The sequence below is a fragment of the Homo sapiens genome, chromosome 14 (genome assembly GCF_000001405.40).
Source record: "Homo sapiens chromosome 14, GRCh38.p14 Primary Assembly".
In the NCBI taxonomy this organism is placed as follows: domain Eukaryota; kingdom Metazoa; phylum Chordata; class Mammalia; order Primates; family Hominidae; genus Homo; species Homo sapiens.
Genome location: NC_000014.9, coordinates 95530231 through 95548761, shown reverse-complemented (window position 1 = coordinate 95548761; position 18531 = coordinate 95530231). Strand labels below are relative to the sequence as shown.

At 43.9% G+C, this 18531-nt stretch overlaps 1 protein-coding gene, 1 long non-coding RNA gene and 1 other non-coding gene across 4 annotated transcripts, besides 8 other annotated features; 2 read left to right on the top strand and 1 right to left on the bottom strand.

The window, feature by feature from the left end:
* Positions 104-979: an enhancer, noted in NCBI's record as "NANOG-H3K27ac hESC enhancer chr14:96014120-96014995 (GRCh37/hg19 assembly coordinates)". NCBI's record gives its function as "activates a minimal SCP1, AML or CMV promoter by ChIP-STARR-seq in naive H9 embryonic stem cells {active_cell/tissue: H9 hESC(naive)}" and the evidence as "EXISTENCE:reporter gene assay evidence [ECO:0000049][PMID:30033119]".
* Positions 2653-2943: a transcriptional cis regulatory region, noted in NCBI's record as "candidate enhancer chr14.2077 targeted for multiplex CRISPR interference". NCBI's record gives its function as "positively regulates GLRX5 gene expression with high confidence in K562 cells {active_cell/tissue: K562}" and the evidence as "EXISTENCE:mutant phenotype evidence [ECO:0000015][PMID:30612741]".
* GLRX5 (glutaredoxin 5) lies at positions 4048-13712 on the bottom strand. Its single transcript, NM_016417.3, has 2 exons — positions 13378-13712; positions 4048-4815 (listed from the first exon to the last, which is right to left on the bottom strand). Exons 1-2 carry the CDS (start codon positions 13670-13672, stop codon positions 4637-4639), a joined length of 474 nt encoding a protein of 157 aa, NP_057501.2. The 5' UTR covers positions 13673-13712; the 3' UTR covers positions 4048-4636.
* Positions 13280-13339: a silencer, noted in NCBI's record as "silent region_6049". NCBI's record gives its function as "represses an Ori minimal core promoter by ATAC-STARR-seq in GM12878 lymphoblastoid cells {active_cell/tissue: GM12878}" and the evidence as "EXISTENCE:reporter gene assay evidence [ECO:0000049][PMID:35858748]".
* Positions 13550-13839: a silencer, noted in NCBI's record as "silent region_6048". NCBI's record gives its function as "represses an Ori minimal core promoter by ATAC-STARR-seq in GM12878 lymphoblastoid cells {active_cell/tissue: GM12878}" and the evidence as "EXISTENCE:reporter gene assay evidence [ECO:0000049][PMID:35858748]".
* Positions 13550-14492: a biological region, named in NCBI's record as "H3K27ac hESC enhancer GRCh37_chr14:96000607-96001396".
* Positions 13703-14492: an enhancer, noted in NCBI's record as "H3K27ac hESC enhancer chr14:96000607-96001396 (GRCh37/hg19 assembly coordinates)". NCBI's record gives its function as "activates a minimal SCP1, AML or CMV promoter by ChIP-STARR-seq in primed H9 embryonic stem cells {active_cell/tissue: H9 hESC(primed)}" and the evidence as "EXISTENCE:reporter gene assay evidence [ECO:0000049][PMID:30033119]".
* Positions 13890-15850, top strand: SNHG10 (small nucleolar RNA host gene 10). 2 transcript variants are annotated; one of them, NR_001459.2, is made up of 2 exons: positions 13890-15069; positions 15701-15850. It is a non-coding gene; the product is annotated as a small nucleolar RNA host gene 10 (long non-coding RNA). The 2 variants fall into 2 exon arrangements; NR_003138.3 differs by having other exon boundaries at positions 13890-15850.
* Positions 13980-14439: an enhancer, noted in NCBI's record as "active region_8964". NCBI's record gives its function as "activates an Ori minimal core promoter by ATAC-STARR-seq in GM12878 lymphoblastoid cells {active_cell/tissue: GM12878}" and the evidence as "EXISTENCE:reporter gene assay evidence [ECO:0000049][PMID:35858748]".
* Positions 14493-15282: an enhancer, noted in NCBI's record as "H3K27ac hESC enhancer chr14:95999817-96000606 (GRCh37/hg19 assembly coordinates)". NCBI's record gives its function as "activates a minimal SCP1, AML or CMV promoter by ChIP-STARR-seq in primed H9 embryonic stem cells {active_cell/tissue: H9 hESC(primed)}" and the evidence as "EXISTENCE:reporter gene assay evidence [ECO:0000049][PMID:30033119]".
* Positions 15133-15407, top strand: SCARNA13 (small Cajal body-specific RNA 13). The gene has a single exon (NR_003002.1).

Sequence of the window (18531 nt, the reverse complement as noted above, 5' to 3'; positions counted from 1 at the left end):
CCCATAGACTCGGGCTCAGCATGGCCTCCCCAGGAAGGTTGCTTCATCGGTGGTGGTGATGATCAAAGCTGATAGCTTGCTCAGGACTAGTGAAGACACATCAATAATCTGGAAATACTTTCCATATTTGCTCACCAAATTTCCTAGGAACCGGCGAACATTTCTACCTCCTTTTTCTGGCAAAACGAATCCCTGTGAAAATGGCTAATGAGGTACAGTAGAACCCAGTGTCACAATCCTTGCTACTGCTAAATTAGAATTAGCTCAAGGTTAAACTGCATTCTTTGAAGCATAACTCAACACAATAACTGTCTAACATATCGGTTCAGAAAAGACTCTCCACTTTGGTATGAAATAGAAGCAGTATTTTTAAAAATAAAACTCGGTGGCAGTAAGTCAAACTATAATCGTAGGAAAGATACTTTACAGGGAATTCTTTCTGGCTGAAGGCCCTGCCGTCCCCTAGGGCTGCTGGGCAGTCCACTGATAGATCATCACAAGGATTAGATCTGTCCTTTGCCTTCAACAATGAGTCTCTATGTTCCAGGGGCAACCAAACATGAACGATGTTGTGTTCATCAGCCTGTCCTTCTCTGCTCCCTTAAACCCTCCGAACGGTGGTGGATACCACAGCGCGGTACCAAGTCCAGGTGTAATCCAACATTAACTGTCAAGGTCAACTTACAGTGAGAGCTCATTATGAGCCATGGTCTCGACAGGGTGCTGTCATCTAAGCTTGTAACACGCCTGAGGTCGGTGGCATCTGCTATTTGCCCACTTAAGCAGGAAGGGAGGTTACTAAGTCGTCTGAGGTCAGTAGCACACCCAGCAAGTGCTGGGATGCAAACCCAGGGAGGGTGACTTGAGTCCCGGCTCTTAGCTACTGCGGTGTTGCGAGGCTGTAACCTGTAATAGCCTAACATTTCTTGTGACTAATCCAAAAGGAATGAAGAAAGGAAATTCTTCACTCTTTTCTAAATGTATTTTTTGGGGCACTCTGTATGCTGGCCAGAGGGGATCTGAATAAAGCCAAGTAACAGGCAGTTAGGTCCTGGAGTGATGAACAAAGAACAGGGCTGTAGAGTGGATTAAAGGGTCTGTTCCGTCTGGGGTCAGGGAAGGCTTTCTGGGATAGGAGAGACTTCACTGTGACACAACCGGGTGCCCCGGGAGGTTCACAAGGAGGAGAATAACATGGCTATTCTGACTGAATCCAGGATAGGGATCTTTGAGGTGAGGTGCACCTTCAGTGGCATCTCTGCCCTAAGGGAGACTCTGCCCTCAGCTCACCTGCACTGGGCTCCCAGGGCAACCGCCAAGAAAACAATGCTCCCCTCACGCAAAATGCCCACATAGCTTTCAGACCTAAAGTGATGCTACTCTCAGGAAATAAGACAGGAATGTGGCTTTACAAGAGTCCACCTGGTCACCCCATGCGTCTCTGTAAGCCCCTGGACCTTAAAATGGCTTTTCTCTTCACCATTCCTCTGCTCTGCTTCATAGTAGCTATTATATGGTTCTTAGGCACAATTTAAAGCTGCTTTTTAGATTTACTAAACAATTCTTAAGTGGAATGTTAAATTTTTAAAACAATCAGTGTTTTGTGTGGCCATCCCCTAATATATATCTTTTCCTGTCGGTGGCTCTCAGGAACCCACATGAAAGCTTTCTCACCTCACATTTAAATTTGTTTCTGCTGGGCGCAGTGGCTCATGCCTGTAATCTTAACACTTTGGGAGGCCAGAGTGGGAGGATCGCTTGAGCCAGGAGTTCAAGACCAGCTTGGGCAACACAGAGACCCTGTCTCTAAAAAATAAAAAAATTAGCCAGGTGTTGTGGTGCACATCTGAAGTCTCAGCTATTCAGGAGGCTGAGTGGGAAGGATTGCTTAAGCCCAGGAGGTCAAGGCTGCAGTGAGCCATAATCAGGCCACTGCACGCCAGCATGGGCAACAGAGCAAGACCCTTTTTCAATCAATCAATCAATCAATCAATCAATCAATCTGCACCAATGAAACCTTGCCGACACAAGTCATTCCTCTACCCTTAGCACAGTCCCTCCTGTCACAAACAAGGGACCTGATTTCTCAAAATATAATTTATGTCAAAATATCTAAGTAAACCTAACAAATGTAACAAGAATTCTCTCTTAAGCTGGCTGCTATGGCTTGAAAAGTTAAAGGAAAGCTTCGGTTCCCAGATTCTACACAAGTGAATTAAACACTGCCAACAAAACGAAACCCAACTTAAAAGTTATCTTCTGTCCTAAGATATCTCTAAAACTCATAGCTTAATGAAGCAGAATGCCATTTATGTAACTACCAATCCATGAAAAAAATAAAAACTACCTGAAATCATAAAATGTTTAATCTTCTAAAATAACTTGATTTCTAAGGGTCTAATCACACAGACCCTGAAGCTATGACAAATATCCAATATAATCACACTAATACAGGCCTAATGTATTTTAAATAGGTGCATTTAAACCCGAGAAGCAGTCCTTGCATTTTAAATAGGTGCGTGATACTGCTGTTTGCACAAGGAACCTCTGTGTCTCTGCTCTAATTCTCACAGTGAATTCTAATTATGCAGACCATCAAAATTATTCAGACTTACACTAGATAGCATCTTCAATTTTCTACTTGGTAGAGATTTGTTAGGCATATAGAAAAAAATTATTAATTAACTCTGAGAAAGAAGACTTACATTCCTCGTAGAGCCCAGTGATTCCTTCAACTTATAAGTTCCCTAGTGACTTTGATATGATCTCACTATGACTCATAAGCATGAGTCAAATTATTCACTTGGCAGCCTTTTCCTAGCTCCAATCATATTCTAGAGAGGTTTCTTACATTGATGCTTCCCATCAATAAGTTTCTCATCATTTCGCTTTTCAGATGAAACCTAAGGGCACACAGGCAGATTCAAGGAAAAGCCAAAAGAAGCAAAATTGTGAAAACGTATCACACTCCTCACTAGATGTGATGGCAAGGGACAATTTTGCAGACCCGGCCTCTGGTCCACGGCCTGTATCCATCCAGAGGCAGTATGAAGTGACTTATTCATGGTGACTCTGTCTACAGGGCAAGGTAGATCCTTCTAGTGCTCCTGCTTCCCTCATTTCTAAACCAAATGGCTCAAATGGATGTGTTTTAACCTCCTCTTAGATCCTAAGGTCCCTTAGCTTACAGAAGACATAAAGGTATCATGGGATGTAGCAGACAATTAATGTAATAACCTTTTTCTGAGAATAATCTATTTTTCTTTTCTCTAACACGGTGAGGTGGGTGACTGCTGAGGAGCAGTGCTCTAATCTGATGGGGCAGTCCCCAGGGTGGGGGCGTGGGGCTACAGCTTTCCTTCCCCTTCCAAAACCTCTGGGGAAGGGGAGCAGGGGCAACTCCATCAGTTCTAGCCTGACCTCATGGAGGAAGTCTGTTTTTAGAGTATTCTCGAGAGGAACTCAAGGAGATTAAATAAGCAACGAAGAACAAGCCTCTAGAATAGCTCTGGGGAAAAGAGCCGTTCTGTCCTTTTTGCCCTTATTATGAGAAAATGCATCCTTCTTCCCACCTCTGCCACCGTAAAGATATGTTTCTAGACAAGCGCTCTCTTTAAGTCCCTGGAGATGAACAAAGCCTCCATGCCACACCAGGCGGGCTTCCTTCCCATGGGCCTCTGCACAGCCCCAGGCTCTACCAGGCCCCAGTCTCGGGATGCAGAACTCATGGAAAGGTCTTATAAAGACACCAGACACTGGGAGAATCTCTGCCACAATTCCAAATTATGTCCTCTTTTAGAAAGTCCCCACTTTTTAAGAAGTAAAATACTCATTAAATCCCCTAGCTCGGTGGACTGTTGACGATGTCTCCCTATCTAACTGTAGCAGTGTGCCAAGCACAGGGCTCCAGAGATAGGCAGGTGGGGCCGCCTCCTCCGGCCTCACCCACCTCTGCTCCCTCCAGCCCACCCACGCCTCCAGCTGCACAGTTGACTCACCATCCAAACAGCTGCTTCCCCCAGAAAGTAGACCAGGGCTCGACGGCAATTCTTGTGGCAAATTTAATAGAAGAATATGAGACTCACCCTTACTTCCCACACATAAAACACTGCAGGCACTCCAAATCCTTACAGACATATGCACTTCGGAATCAACTCAGGCATGCACAGCATCCCTGTGCTGGAGTTTATTTTAAAAAACAACGCCCCAGTTATCACAGTTTCTTTTTTTGTTCACCATTTTCCATAACAAAAGAAGCTACACAAAATTTGGGGGGAGATACTCTCTTTGGAGACTGACACATTTGCAGAGGGGTCATGAATAATGATTCCAAAGCTCCTATTTAACTTCTGAATCAGGCAAAGAATAAGTGACAATATAAGAATGAATTTTGTTTACAGCAATATCATAATACAGCATTGAATCATTACAGTGCAGTGGTTGTAATTAAGTCCACAATAAAATATTCTTAGCCCGAACACCAGACCAACTAAAATCACCAACTGCTCACGAACCAAAATGATCAGTGCAAGCAGTTGCGGTCTCAATAGTGAAAACCAAAATGGGTAAGGCTTTTCTGGCAGTGAGTCTCTGACATGAACGGCTCCCTCTCTGCTCAGCGAGGACTTGGCCGCCCTCACTTGGAGTCTTGGTCTTTCTTTTCATCTAAAAGGGCGGAGTGGATCCCCAGCTTTTTCAGTTCTTCCACCAAGTCCCCATTCTGGTGCATCTGCAGAAGAATGTCACAGCCCCCTACAAACTCGCCATTGAGGTACACTTGCGGGATGGTGGGCCAGTTGGAATAGTCTTTAATGCCTATGGAGAAAGAACATTTATTTGTTATTTAAATGGTAAAAGCTGAACCATTCATGACTAAATATGTAATTTTGACCCACTAGTAGCAGACAACCCACTGTCCCTCCCTGGCTTCCCCCAATCTTGAGAACACTGTGCTTGCCACTAAGAGCATGAGTTTTTGTGTCAAAGAGACCAGTGGTTAGGCCCTGACTCTTCCAATTACAAACCGTCAGCCCTCAGACAAGTCACCTGACCTCTCATCCTGTTTCCACCCTCATCTCCCAAGGTTTTTTTTTTTGTGAGAATTAGGTAAGCAAGATTCTCAGTAAAATACCTGATACATTGCGGACCTTAGATTAATGGCAGAGGACTGGACTGGGTAATGCAAGTCACATAAGATACATAAGGCCAAAATTCTCCATCTACCAGTCAAGCTTCAAGCGAAACAAAACTTGAAGAAATGTCACAACCAACTTCATTTCCAAATGGATCCATCACGGTAATTCATGGCCAACTCGGGCAATCCCACCTGTGCACTTTTCATGACTGTGACTGTCTAAGTTGGTGCAGGCCGTCAGTCACTTCTCCTCGAGATGATGAGTTGTTGAGTTTTTTTTTTTTTTAATTTTTAACAATTACTTTTACCCAGGGAAAAATCCCTGTCCCACAGCTATGGGTTGTCAGTTCCCATCTATCCAGCCACTGTGATGGGCTCTCTGTGGAGTGGATGATGAGGCTCTGTGCAGAACCCGAAGTGACTGGTGAGTCTAATGAAGGCCCAGAGCTCAGCAAGGTCCCTGTCCAGGGCTGAGGGGTGGGGGAGTGAGACCCGCTCTGCTCTTAAGCGCTCACAGCAGCCAAGAAACCAACCAGCATGCATGTGATCAGTCCTGTGTGCAAATGGCTCTGAGGACACACATGAGATGAGGGACACTCTGTGACAGCGCAGCTGTGCAACTACTCTGTTCAATTCTGAGCCACAAGGATGATGACTGTAACAAAATGGTAAGAAAGAAATGTGGCTTCAATCTTAAGACATAAAAGATTACTCTTAACATTCCTCTTCATCAGTCTACTTCCTTTTCTACTTGTATGTTGAGATGACTGTGCTTTCAAAAACATAGTCGGCCATTAAAAAGCCTGTATTGGTCATGTTAAAAACGAAGATGGTCAAAGCATGGCATATAATAACTAACACTTATGTGACACTTTTATATTTACATAGATAGATATTTTTAAATGGCCAAAATGAGCATATGGATAAACAAAACGGAAAAGTCAACAGATTGTTCAAGTCCAGTACAGTTTACACAAATCGATTTTTATGTAAACAAACTAAAAATACAAAAACTTGCTCTTGATACCCTATAATTTATTATCAAACATTTTCCAAATAAAATTACTGATTTCAGTTATATCACAAGTCCCAATATACTATTTATTTTTTTCTTAAAAGTTATTGCCTTATTAAAAAAACTGACTTTGCTCTAAATGACAGCCCTAAAGAAAGCCCCTGAACCAAGGGCTTTATCTTCCTTCTCCAGACTTCACATATTAAGAAAGGGTTACATTGCTCTAGGCCTCCAAAAGGACACCTCTCAGCCACTCTGGGTGCTAGTAAAGAAACAACAGCTAGCTCTTTGGCAGCTGCCAATAAAGGGTAAATTCCATTAATCATCAAAATGTCTTTATAATGCCAAATATCTAGACATAGTAGAATACCCTGATGAATTCAAGTTGTTCATCATGGTGATGTTTGATGCTCCATCAACAAAAACAACTAGCATAATTTGTGTGTTTTTTTACTTTCTTCAAACTCTGTCCTCAAATACAAAGTCTATCAAAACTCACTTTTTACAATGATGCCGATTACAAAACTTTTACCTTTATGATGACTGAGAGCTGGGTGCGAGAATTAAGAAATATTTAAAGTAAACGTGAGCTTCTTTTCATTATCTTCAACTTTCTTAAATACCTTTTATACAAATGAATCATTTATGTGCATGAACGACCTGTTTTGTTTCAATGAATAATATATTGTGTGAAGCTTTCCATGATAATCAATTTTTACTGATTTATTTTGATGGATGTCTATAATTTCTGAAACACACCAAAAATGGAAATGTTTGCTGCCTGAGAACTACCCAAAACTACATGTTTTACCCAAAAAATACATGTTTTTAAAGTAAAATTGCTTTTCATCAATCACTTTTATAGTATCACACTCAATCGAAGCATTGGGCTTGCCTCATTGATTAAACTTTATGTTGCTGTTGATCATATGTCCTGACTACGAGAGAAGGGGAGACCCCCAGAATCCTTACCACCAAAATTATCAAAACAAGCAGGCTTTCAGACATTCTCAACACCCAACACACACAGCCACATGCAAGTGATACTAACTTCTCATGAGCCACCTGCCTGTTCTTGACAGCAGCTGACGGTTTATCAAAATTAAACTTAGCTGCTTCTTTAATTTTTAGATGAATAGGTGTAATAGGCAGCTGGCATCAAGGCCAAACGTTGGCACCCTTCTTAATGACTATGCTCTTTTCCATTTTTAAGAAAGTTGATTACCAGTTTAAATATTTAAGGAAATACCCAATTGCTTCCTATAGAGTGAAGTGAGAAACTCCTAATAATAATAAAAGACTACTCTTCATAAGTTGAATATTAAAATGAATCCTGCGGATCCACAAGTAACTGTTTACACATGGTTAATCTCTCTCACACTTTAGTTTTCAAAAACTGCAATATGCAGTGGTAGTTCTTACAAATATCACTTGAAATTAACTCAGAATCAGAGAGCTACTCCTGAAAATTAGAAAATCACATCCAAGAATGAATTTTAATGATAATCATTATTTCATATGTGATAGACGGTGGTGATTCCATCTGGGGCAGAAAATGCTGACTGCAAAGTTATATGGCAGAGTAACACTAGGAACTGGGAGTTAGGAGGCTATCTTACAAAGTCAGTTTACACGCATCTAATGCTCCACCAAAAAAACCCATACAAACAAATTCATATTCCAAAGTATCAACCCAGAAAGAGTACAGAAATGATACTTTAAAATTCCCTTCCAGAACTTTCAAAAGGTATTTTTCAAAATTCATCACATTCAGAACACTGGGCATTACTCCTGATTTGGACACTAAATTACGAGAGCAGCATAATCATAGTTTTCTTTCTTTTTATTTTTCCTGGTAGAACCTCACTACAGTAGCTTCAGAATCTGATATGAGTTCCAACTCTGTCTCTTACCTACTAGACTCTGTGATCTTGGGCAAGTTACACCACCTCTGAGAGTCACAATTTCTTCATATTCTCTAATTTAGAGAATGGCGTTAAGTCGAGATAAGATGATCTGAGCTGAAAGCACGGAAATCAGTAGACCCTCACTAGAGGAAAAGCAAGGCACGGGGCAGAGTGGGCAAGGCACAGGCTTAAGGATCAGTAGATCTGGTTTGCTAGCCTGTAAATGTAGCCTCAGACAAATCTGTTAATCTTTTAGCCTCAGTTTCCTCATCTGTAAAATGGGAATATACTCTACGCCTCACATATTATGAAGATTCCATGATATCTAAGGAATGAAATGAATTGAGCTCCCAGCATAGTACCAGGTACAGTGTGGACATTCTCTCCATACCAACATGCTCCACCACCCACCCTTCACAGTAATGCTTTTCTGAGAAAGGCAACAGAAAAAGCATAGGAAAATAAAGCAGGAAAAAGTGATTAAGTATACCCTAAAGTAATGAAAACGCCATTCAGGCCAGGTGCGGTGGCTCACACCTGTAATCCCAGCACTTTGGGAGGCCAAGGCTGGTGCATCACCTGAGGTCAGGAGTTCAAGACCAGCCTGGCCAACATGGTGAAACCCTGTCCCTACTAAAAATAAAAAAAATTAGCCAGGCATGGTGCCAGGTGCCTGCAATCCCAGCTCCTTGGGAGGCTGAGGCAGGAGAATCGCTTGAACCCGGGAGGCAGGGGTGGCAGTGAGCCGAGATTGCCCCCTGCACTTCAGCCTAGGCAGCAGAGTAACACTCTCTCAAAAAAAAAAAAATATATATATATATACCATTTATTGAGTTAAGGATTACTGAGTTTCATACTCTTTAAGCGTTTTACAAAAATAATCTTATTTAATCTTTACAAAAATCTGACAAGGCAGGTACAATTATCCCTACTTTACATAAGATGAAGAAACTAAGGCTCAGAAGGGTTAAGTAACTTACCGAAACTCACAGTGACAGCGCAGTGAAACCAGGATTTATATCCAGGCTTCCAGGAGTACAAAAGCCCAGACTCTTAACCACATGCTACCTGAGTCCCTCACCAGAGGTGGCCTCTACCCTCTAGCTGCCATCTCACTCCTGCCCAGGAGCTACAAGTGCACTGCACACATATCTGCAATATATGGGACTGTTTTATGCCTTTAACATTTACATATACAAATGGTATTATGCCATAATTACGTGTTTGCAACTTGCTTTTTGACTAAATATTGTATTTTTGAGATTCAGCCATGTTAAATACATCTAGATCTAGTTCATTTTAACTACAGTTTAGCTTTCCATCATGTGACTAAAGTTTATTTATCTGGTCTGCTGCTAATAGACCAAGATCCCTTCCTGTCAGTTTTTCATTATTGCAAGCCATGCTGCAATGAACGCGCCAACACAGGTATCCTAACACAGAGGTCCCCAACCTTTTTGGCACCAGGGACTGGTTTTGTGGAAGACAATTTTTCCACGGACCAGGGAAGGGTGGGGATAGCTTCGGGATGAAACGGTTCCACCTCACATCATCAGGCATTAGTTACATTCTCGTAAGGAACGCACAACCTAGATTCCTCACATGTGCAGTTCACAATAGAGTTTGTGCTCCTATGAGAACCTAATGTCGTCACTGATGTGGCAGGAGGCGGAGCTCAGGCGGTAAAGCTCACTTACCCACCGCTTACCTCCTGCTGTAAGTCCTCGATCCCTGGCCTGGGGGTTGGGGACCCATGTCCTAACACACACATGCAGAAGTCAGTCTCTAGGCCAGGGACAGATAAACTATGGTCTTCAGGCCAAATCCAGTCTACTTCGTAATTAAAGCTGTATTTTCATAAATAAAGTTTTATTGAAACTCAGCCTGCTCATTCATCTACATATTGCCCATGACTGACTTCAGGCTATATAACAGCAGAGTTGAATAGATGCAACAAAAACCACACAGCCCACAAAGCCTGACGTACTTAGTCTCTGGCCCTTTACTAGGGTAAGTTTGCAGATCCCCCTCTCTAGAATATATACCTAGGAGTCACGCAGCTGGGTCTTAGGCTCTGTTCACCCATAGCTTGACTGGGTACTGATAGTTACTCCTCCAAAGTGTTGGTACCATTTTATACTCCCATCTGCAGCATACATGTGCACCACACAAGCACATACACACAACTTGTTATCCAACTTTTAAGGTTCACCAGCATGACATGTTTCACTACTGTCTTCAATTCCCTGATACTGAAAAGGTGGAGCGTATTTTCAAATGCTTAATAAACATTCAACAACAGGATATGGTTATTTATTCAACAAATCATTTGAGTCCCTATTCTGTCACTGTTCCAGATGCAAGGACTACAATGATGATCTAAATCGGCAGCAAATGTTTATAATGCCTTTAAGGCCGCAGAGTTTGCAATATAATGATAAATAAAAGCAGTATTTATTTATTTATTAAAATGCTCACTGAAAGCTTGCTTTGCATAAGCGGTACACACAGCACCACAGGCAGTGGCATAAGACATATTCCCTCGTCTCTGGAGGGCAAAATACTATGTATAGACAAGCATGGTCTCAATGTGTTAAAAAAAAAAAAACTGTTAGGAACTAGATCTAAATGTTAATACAATAGTTTCCATAAATTACAGGTGATTTTCCTTCTTTAAACTTTTCAGTGTTTTCTACATTGCTTCCATGAGCATAAGTTCCTTTATTAAGACCAGGATTAGGAAATGATGATGTCAGTCTACTGGGACCTGATCCCTTTGTGACTGTCTTCTGTGTGCACTCCAGATAAAAAGAGAAGGACAAGAAGGTCTTGAGAAGGCCAGAACACAATGCTGCCTCATAGTCACCTTTGTTCCTTGGGTCACAGTCTCAAGATGTGTCTGTATCACACTCCTGGGAACCCAGTACTCAAAACTAGGAAAGAATGTTTTCCTCCGGTTTAGGCACTTTGTAAAGTTCAGGTCTCCTTGGCATAAGAACCAACAAAAGGCCAGTTTTGCAAGAGCTCCGTTCCTATTACTAGAAATGACCTTGGATCTGGTGTACAAACATAGTTTCGGCTGGCAAAAGCAAGCATCGGACAGCCCGTTAGTTGCTCTTGGTAAATAAAGCTGTATAGGGAAGAGGGGAAGAGTCTTAATAACCTGGCTGAACTAATCCCCATTTGGGGAACGTGCTTTTACCACCCTGCCCAGTCCAAATGTTAATACTTACTAATCTTTACTTTTCTAATCAATAAAAGAGGTATGTTATATTCAATATATATGCAACGCGTTTATTAACCAAAATAGCAATCTGATGAAACTCAGTGGTCAAGGAATGTAAGGGTTAAATTCCTGTCGCTGCTGTTTGAAAACTTAAGAAAGTAAGCTCAGAAACCAGACACCAGACGTGGATAAAAGACAGAAAAATAAAATGTTATCAGTACATATTCGTATTTTTGCTCCTATTTTCCGTTTACTAGCTATATTCCAGCATATCTCATTTCCAGTTATATTAAACAAGAGAAAATAAATTCACAAACCAAAGACCCTCGAAACATGATACTAAGCGAGATAACAACACCACTTTTTTACTAGTGCCATATTGGCAATTTGCAGGGGACTCCCTGCAAGGTCTCTGTCAAAAGACTGCAAAATAGTTACTCCTCTTTTAAGCAGAGAAGCTGTCTTCGAAGGAAGACTGCAGGTCCCTTGCCTTGCACATGATAAAACTGAGCCCAGTAACTGGTGGCATACTAGTTGACAAGGAAGACAAAAGGGTCATGAGAATAACACATGGTAATATTACATATACGTGGTAATTTGAACCTGCCCTCTCGACTCCTCAACTCAACATGCTTTCTAGGTCCCACCCACCACCACTATCACCTACAGCAAATGGAGGATCAGTTATCCCCAAGAGTCTTTAAGGACTAGATAATCTGGGAAAAAATACATTTGAAAACCATCAAGTGCTAATACGAAGCCAGCTACCATTTACCGGGTGCTTTCTGTGCCAGGTAAAATAATACACACTTTCTATAATTTTTACTTTGGCTTCCTAACACAAACTTTGCCAAATTGTCTCATTATCCTCAAATGCAGGTGAGTGACTTAAGTTTTACACCTGATTAGCCACAGAAGAGGATGTCAACCCAAAGCTTTTCCAAACACCAGCCTGTCTCATCATTGTAAGCAATGACTATGATTAGTAATTTCGAATTTAGAGTAACAGAGAACCTGGCACCTATTTTTAGCACACAACTGGCACCTCTTTTTAGCTAGGGACATGCAGGGACTCAGTCACTGAAAGTCTCTAACTGGGATGCAGGTATCCTAAGTCACTCTCTAGAAGGAAAAGGTACAGCCTTCCCAGTTTTCCACCAACCCTGACCATCCTGGCCAAGGAGCAGGCCCTTGTGCCTGGCCTCTTCCTCCTCCCCTACTCAGATAAGACTGGCGAATGCACGTGGAGTACTTGGAAAAGATGCTTATTAGCTGCAGCCTTCCCTCTCCCGGCCTAATCCATCTGGTCCCTGGTGCCCTGGCCCCCTGGGCTCCAAGGCTGAGCCAGTGAGTTAGCCCAGGGCCCAGGAGCCAGGGCTGCTTCTTTTCCCCACAAACCTCTCCAAGCCCTGGCCCACATAAATTCAGCCCTGTGCTTGAGTATCTAAAGCCAAATGTCATGACTCTTCCCCGACAACATAGATCCCGACTAAGGTCAGCCGACAGCTGTCCCAACCCTTTGCTTGTAGCAACCACAGAGGATGATGCTTGACACCCTGAGCCGTGAGCCAAGCGAGATCAGCCTCCGACCTCACTAGCCTCAAGGGCAACCTCAGCCCTCTCCCCACCATCGACAGCCCTAGACCTTACCCACGAGTAGGCCAATGGCTTCCAACCTCCCCAAAGTGTCCGCGAAAGTACCTATCTCACAGTGGGTCCTTACTATGAGTTTCCTAACCGTGCAGAGCAGTCAGGCAGCGGGCCACCCTCCTCCGAGTCAGTCATTGACAAATCGCCCCGAAACGCCTATATTAGCTCGAAGTGAGGATAAGTGAACCTTTAGGACTTTACCTACTGCTCAAGTTGGCAACAGTACAGAGCCCCAGATCCTCAAGACCCAGTGAAATCAACTACACCCTCAGCCCAGACTCTACTCCAGGGCAGTACTCCTCGCCCTAACCCGGCTCGAACCTTCAGACAGACCCCGGCGGATGGAGCCCCGCTCCCCAGCCCGGCGCGGCGGAACCCCTCGGCCTCGTGCAGCGATGCTCCTGGGCCCGGGGCGGAGGGCGCCTGCCCGGCACACTGGCCTGACCTTGTCGGAGCTCCGGGTCGTCCAGCACGTTGTAGGCCGCGTAATCGCGGACGCCGTGCAGCCGCAGGATCTGCACCACGGCGTTGCTGAAGCCGCACTGGGGCTGCTCCGGCGTCCCCTTGAGGAAGACCACCACCTTGTCCTTCTTCACCAGCGCGTCCAACTGCTCCGCCGAGCCGCCGCCGCCCGCGCCCGAGCCCGCCGCCCGCACGCCCGGACCCCAAAGGCCACCGCCGCCCGCGCCGCGCCCCCAGCGGAGCAGAGCCGCCGCAGCTCGGCCGAGGGACCCGCTCATCTCCGCACGCAAGCCGGAGCCCACGACGGCCCGGGCCCACAGCTGGCCACCCAGAGCGCTCCCCGGCCCGCGGCAGTCCGACCCGCCCCCTGGAGGCCCTCATTGGGCCGGCTCTAAACTGCCCTCCGTGATTGGACAATACTGATCAGTAATTACTCGATTCCACCAATCATGTTGCTCGTCCCGCCCGGCAGGTAGGAGGTGGGCCTTATGCCGGAGCCTCATCCTACTGCCTTACTATTGGTCGTCGGCAACCGCTTTGTTAGTTAATTGGAGAGACTGGATGTCCATCAGGGTCACGCTTGCAGGGCAACGAGAGGCAAAACAAGAGGGAAGACGACTTTCCTCCTGTGAGCCAATGAGGCCAGCTGGACTACGCCGAGACAACTGGGAGAGGCGCGGGACTCGCCCGTTCCGCGGAACGCCGGGAAGGGGTCACCTCCTGATGAAGTTTCCGGTTCCGGTGTCAGCGGCGGTTGAATTGCCATGGCAATGCGGTGGGCGCGCGCTTGTCGTGTTGGTCTCTTGGGAGGTAGCGGGGCTAGGCCGGGCGGGTATCCGCCTCTCCCAGCTTAGGTGAGCGTCCCCGGGCGCCTCCGGAGCGCCGCGGCCGCATGCAGTTCGTCGTGGCGGGGAGCCGGAGCCTGACCGGGGTTCCAGCGCTCGGGCCGTAGCCTTGGCTCCTGGACTTTCCCTGGCTCCGCCGCCACGTGGGAGCTGAGGCTCTGGGGCTTCCGCCTCCGGCGCGCGATTATTTCTCTAGAACAGTTTTCATTTTTAAAATTTGTAAAGCGCTTTTGCCTGTGTGATTTCCTCTGGGTTTTTTTTTTTTTTCTTCCTTTTTGTAGAGACGGAATTGGCGGCGGGGGCGGGGGGTCGATGTCTCACTTTTTTGCCCAGGCTGGTCTCGAACTCCTGGCTTCAAGGGATCCTCCTGCCTCGGCCTCTTAAAGTGCTGGGATTACAGGCGTGAGCCACCGCCCCCGGCCGCCTCTGAGTTTCCAGCCTCGTTGGCCCTCCAGCCTTTTAACCTGTTGGGCCTAGGATCAGGAAAGGTTTGTTGAATGGGGAACTAAGAAGTGAATTCGTTCGTTCGACAAACGTTTCCTGAGCAGCCGCTGGGTGCTAGGCGCAGTGCCAGCGCGGAATGTCCAGGGAGACCTGGTGCCCAAAGCTTGGACCCATCGTGAGAAATGAGAAGCAGATACAAAGCAGTGTGGGAGTGCAGAGGAGACAAAGCAAGCCTCATCAGGCCCATTGCTTGCTCTGCTCTCCCTTGTACTTACCAGTGCTTGACAATATACAGTTATTTACTAGCTTGGTTATTGACTTCCTACCCAGCACTCAGTTTTATTCACTGCTGTATCCTCAGTGCCTAGGACGATGCTTGGAACGTGGTAAGTGCTCCTATTGGCGGGAAGAATAAATCCGGAAGAGCAGGACCAGTGGACTTGCTACATAATCTGTAGTCTTGGAGCCGCACAGGGTTGGTGGTACCCTCGAGCACACCAGACTTGCAGAAAAAGCATACTCCAGAGGAAGCTGAGGCATGCCTGCTCGAGAGCCAGCTGTTCCATGTGCAATTTTCCTCTGATAGTTTCTGGTCACTGTTGCCACGGTGATAATGACTGGGCTATGTCATTATCTATCCGCCAACAGTAAGAGAAGCTTTGCAGTCGAGATATTGTTTAGCAGATGGAGTGTTTTCTGTTGAACACTAAGTACTGCCACAAGTTACTTTTTTTTTTTTAAACTTTGAGTATTTTTTTACAATGTTGCTGGAGGTGATCTGTTTATGCTTTGAGAGTGTTCGAATTTAAAATCAGAAAATCATGTCAGTGAGTGAGTCTTTCAAATAATCCTTCGGCATGAAACCTGAGCCTAGTAAACTATGAAAGTAAACTCGGCACATTACCCGAAAGTCTCAATGTCATATTTTCACCCCCATCAATATTATTGATGATTGCTCATTTTCTAATGTGGGACCTGAAATTTACCAGGTGCTTAAAGAATCTTTTTGTTTTTCAGATTCATTGATTCCAGGTAAATCAGAGGAACAAGCAACATGAACAGAAATATGTAGAAAAAGCTATTATGCAGAAGCATAATTGTTGTTTCAGAAGTCCAGCATCTGGTGCACTTAACAATAGAGAATATATTAAACTCTTTCCAAAATAACCTGTTGTTCCTACCTGTGTTGTAAGTGTTTTGTTTGTTTTTAAGTAAATATTGGTGATTTGTTGCCAAAAACCTAAACTGTTTGTTGCTGTCAACTTAAATAACGAACAGAGAGAGGCTCTCTAAAAGAAAATGGCATTTATTCAGGAATAGAGCACTGCAATGAGAAAATGCATGCGATAGTTAACTGTGTGTATCCTGGGAGATAGAGGAAGACAAAGGTCTTTAAAGGAAAAATGAGGAGGGTTACATAATTGTTTTGAGATAATTATTTTTGACTACAAGGATCAGTAACAAAGGTGACACCAGTCCCAGGTTGGACAGGCAGGTGCTCGGCAGGCATTGCAGAAGTATTTTTTGTGTAAGATTGAGATGGCCTTTGTGCAGGATTGTGGTTTTGGAATCTTCTGTGATCGTTTTTGCTATCAGGCATTTATGCTTGCGAACTCTTTATGGCCTTCCCTGTGTCTATTTTGATTCCACCTTTCTCATTGCCCACTCTAAACTGTAATTCTGCTTTTATGTTGACTGAGATCAGGAGAAGAATTTGCAAACTTATATCCTGAGACAGAACAGTAATGAGGAGTATCGTGTTCCTTACCTAATGTATAATATTGGGCTCAGAAGCAGTTGTCTTTTTTATTTGTTGAACGTTGTATTAAGTTGAGAATGCAGCTGCCATTAAAGATTAAGAGTAATCCTTGAGAAGGAAGAGTACAAAGCCTGTGTTTTGCTAAATCATAGTGAAGTTGCCGTGTTTTTGTAGAATATGATAAGAACATACAGTGTGTGAAATGCTAAGGATATGGAAAAGCATGTTGGTGCTCTTTCAAGGAGCTATTTTGATAGCATGAGCAAGGGCAGGAAACAGATCATGTATCTGAACCAAAGAAATTGAAACAATACATCTAAATTTAAATTTTTAATAAAACAACCCAAAATATAGTGAAATACTTAGCACCAAACATCAGTGATCTTAAGAAGCAAAGAAAACAGTATTCAAAATACTTCGTCCAAAGTATCAGACTTTTGCATAAAGTTTGGCATTTTGGTTTTGAGATTCCTCTTTAGTCCTATGATGAAAACATGACAAAATATACATCTTAAATAAACAGTTGTCATCAGTCTGCATCTATGACCAGATGTTTTGGGTGTTTTGAGTAAATGGCCTGTCTTAGCATGTGATGGCTTCCTGCCTCGTGAACATTAGTGAAGAGGTGAGGGTGGGAAGTACTCAGGAACTTCTGAGAATCCTGGGATTTGAGTCACAGGATTGGTTAAACCCCAAACTAAATAATCATGCCGTGTAAACATGCTGACTCAGGCATCCTAAAAATGTTTTTCTTCCTTGTGTTTATTTATAGATAAGGCTTTACTATATTTGGTAGAACTCCTGTTTTCTATCCACTTCTCCAAAAACAAATTCGCCATTGAATTCATCGTGTAAACCTCCACATATCTGAGATAGCTTCTTCCGTTTATCAGCCCCAAATGAAGAACTAGAGTTCAGATTATTGAACTGAAGGTGATGCTTTATCTGAGCACTCCACATGTCAGTGTTTCTGTACCTTTACTTTTTTAAAAAATTATTTTTTAAAAAGATGAGGTCTCAGTAGGTTGCCCAGACTGGTCTCCAACACCTGGTCTCGAATACTCCTCCCGCCTTGCCCTCCCAAAGTGCTAGGGTTACAGGTGTGAGCCGCCGCACTGGCCCTGTTCATTTTATGCTCAGTGCTGCATTCTTGTTTGTTCTTAGAAAATGAGAGGGTGTGTTTGCATGAGAACGTGTGGTACAGAAGTGTCTATCTGAGCTGGCCAGAACATTCTGCAAATGTCATATTAAGGGCAAAATGGCTGCTTGGATTGTACAAGGGGCCGAACCACCACGCATTCCTAAGCTAAAATAGCAGATTCTATTGACCTGAGCTGGAACCTGAAAGCTTCCTCTGTGATGCACTGAGCTATCATCTAGTAGTTTTAGAGCATCACTGCAACCCTGGAACTACCTGGATTCCCTGATAACACCAAAAATAATGTAATGTATAAGAAACTGAAGCAAAATGCAGCCCTCAGAATTTTTCTAGTCCCTATTGTGGAGATAGAAATGCTTGTTGGATTTCGACTACCTCTATCTGACAAGGCAGCTGGTTTATTAATACTTCTTTGGCCGAGGCTTTGCTCATCCCTGCCGCCCACATCTTGGAGACAGGAAGGCAGGCCAGCCTCCACTGTGTCACACAAGTCCTGCTCCCTTCACCTGCCCTGAGTCACTGGGTCACTGAAGAGAAAGGGCATGCTGTAGATCTGGTTAGTTCAGTCTAGAATAGACCGTGGGAGATAGGTGAGCATTTATGAAAAGCCCAGATGCCATGACAACCCAGTTTTGTCCTGGAATTTGGGTGGAGGTGTAGTCCTGGGTTCTGGTCTTAAACGTCGCTGAGTACTTGAGTTCTTTTTGATTTTCCTCAGATTTTTCCACATCTATTTTCCCCTTTCTGGATTTTGGAAAAATCCAAATTGATGTCTGCCGAAGTTTGTATATAATTGAAGAATTTCTTCATATAAAGGCTGCAGCGTTGTAAGAAATCTGTGTGTACTTTCTCTGCTCATAAATATTTACCCCCAAATGTTATCATCTTGCATAGATTGTACTTTTTTGTTAAATTTTTGTGTGTATACAT

Bases quoted from the DNA above. Each gene is read 5' to 3' on its own strand.
- GLRX5 (NM_016417.3), bottom strand. From the start codon at position 13,672: ATGAGCGGGTCCCTCGGCCGAGCTGCGGCGGCTCTGCTCCGCTGGGGG. The intron at 4,816-13,377 runs GTCAGGCCAGTG...CTTTCTCCATAG, and splicing joins CGACCCGGAGCTCCGACAAG to GCATTAAAGACTATTCCAAC.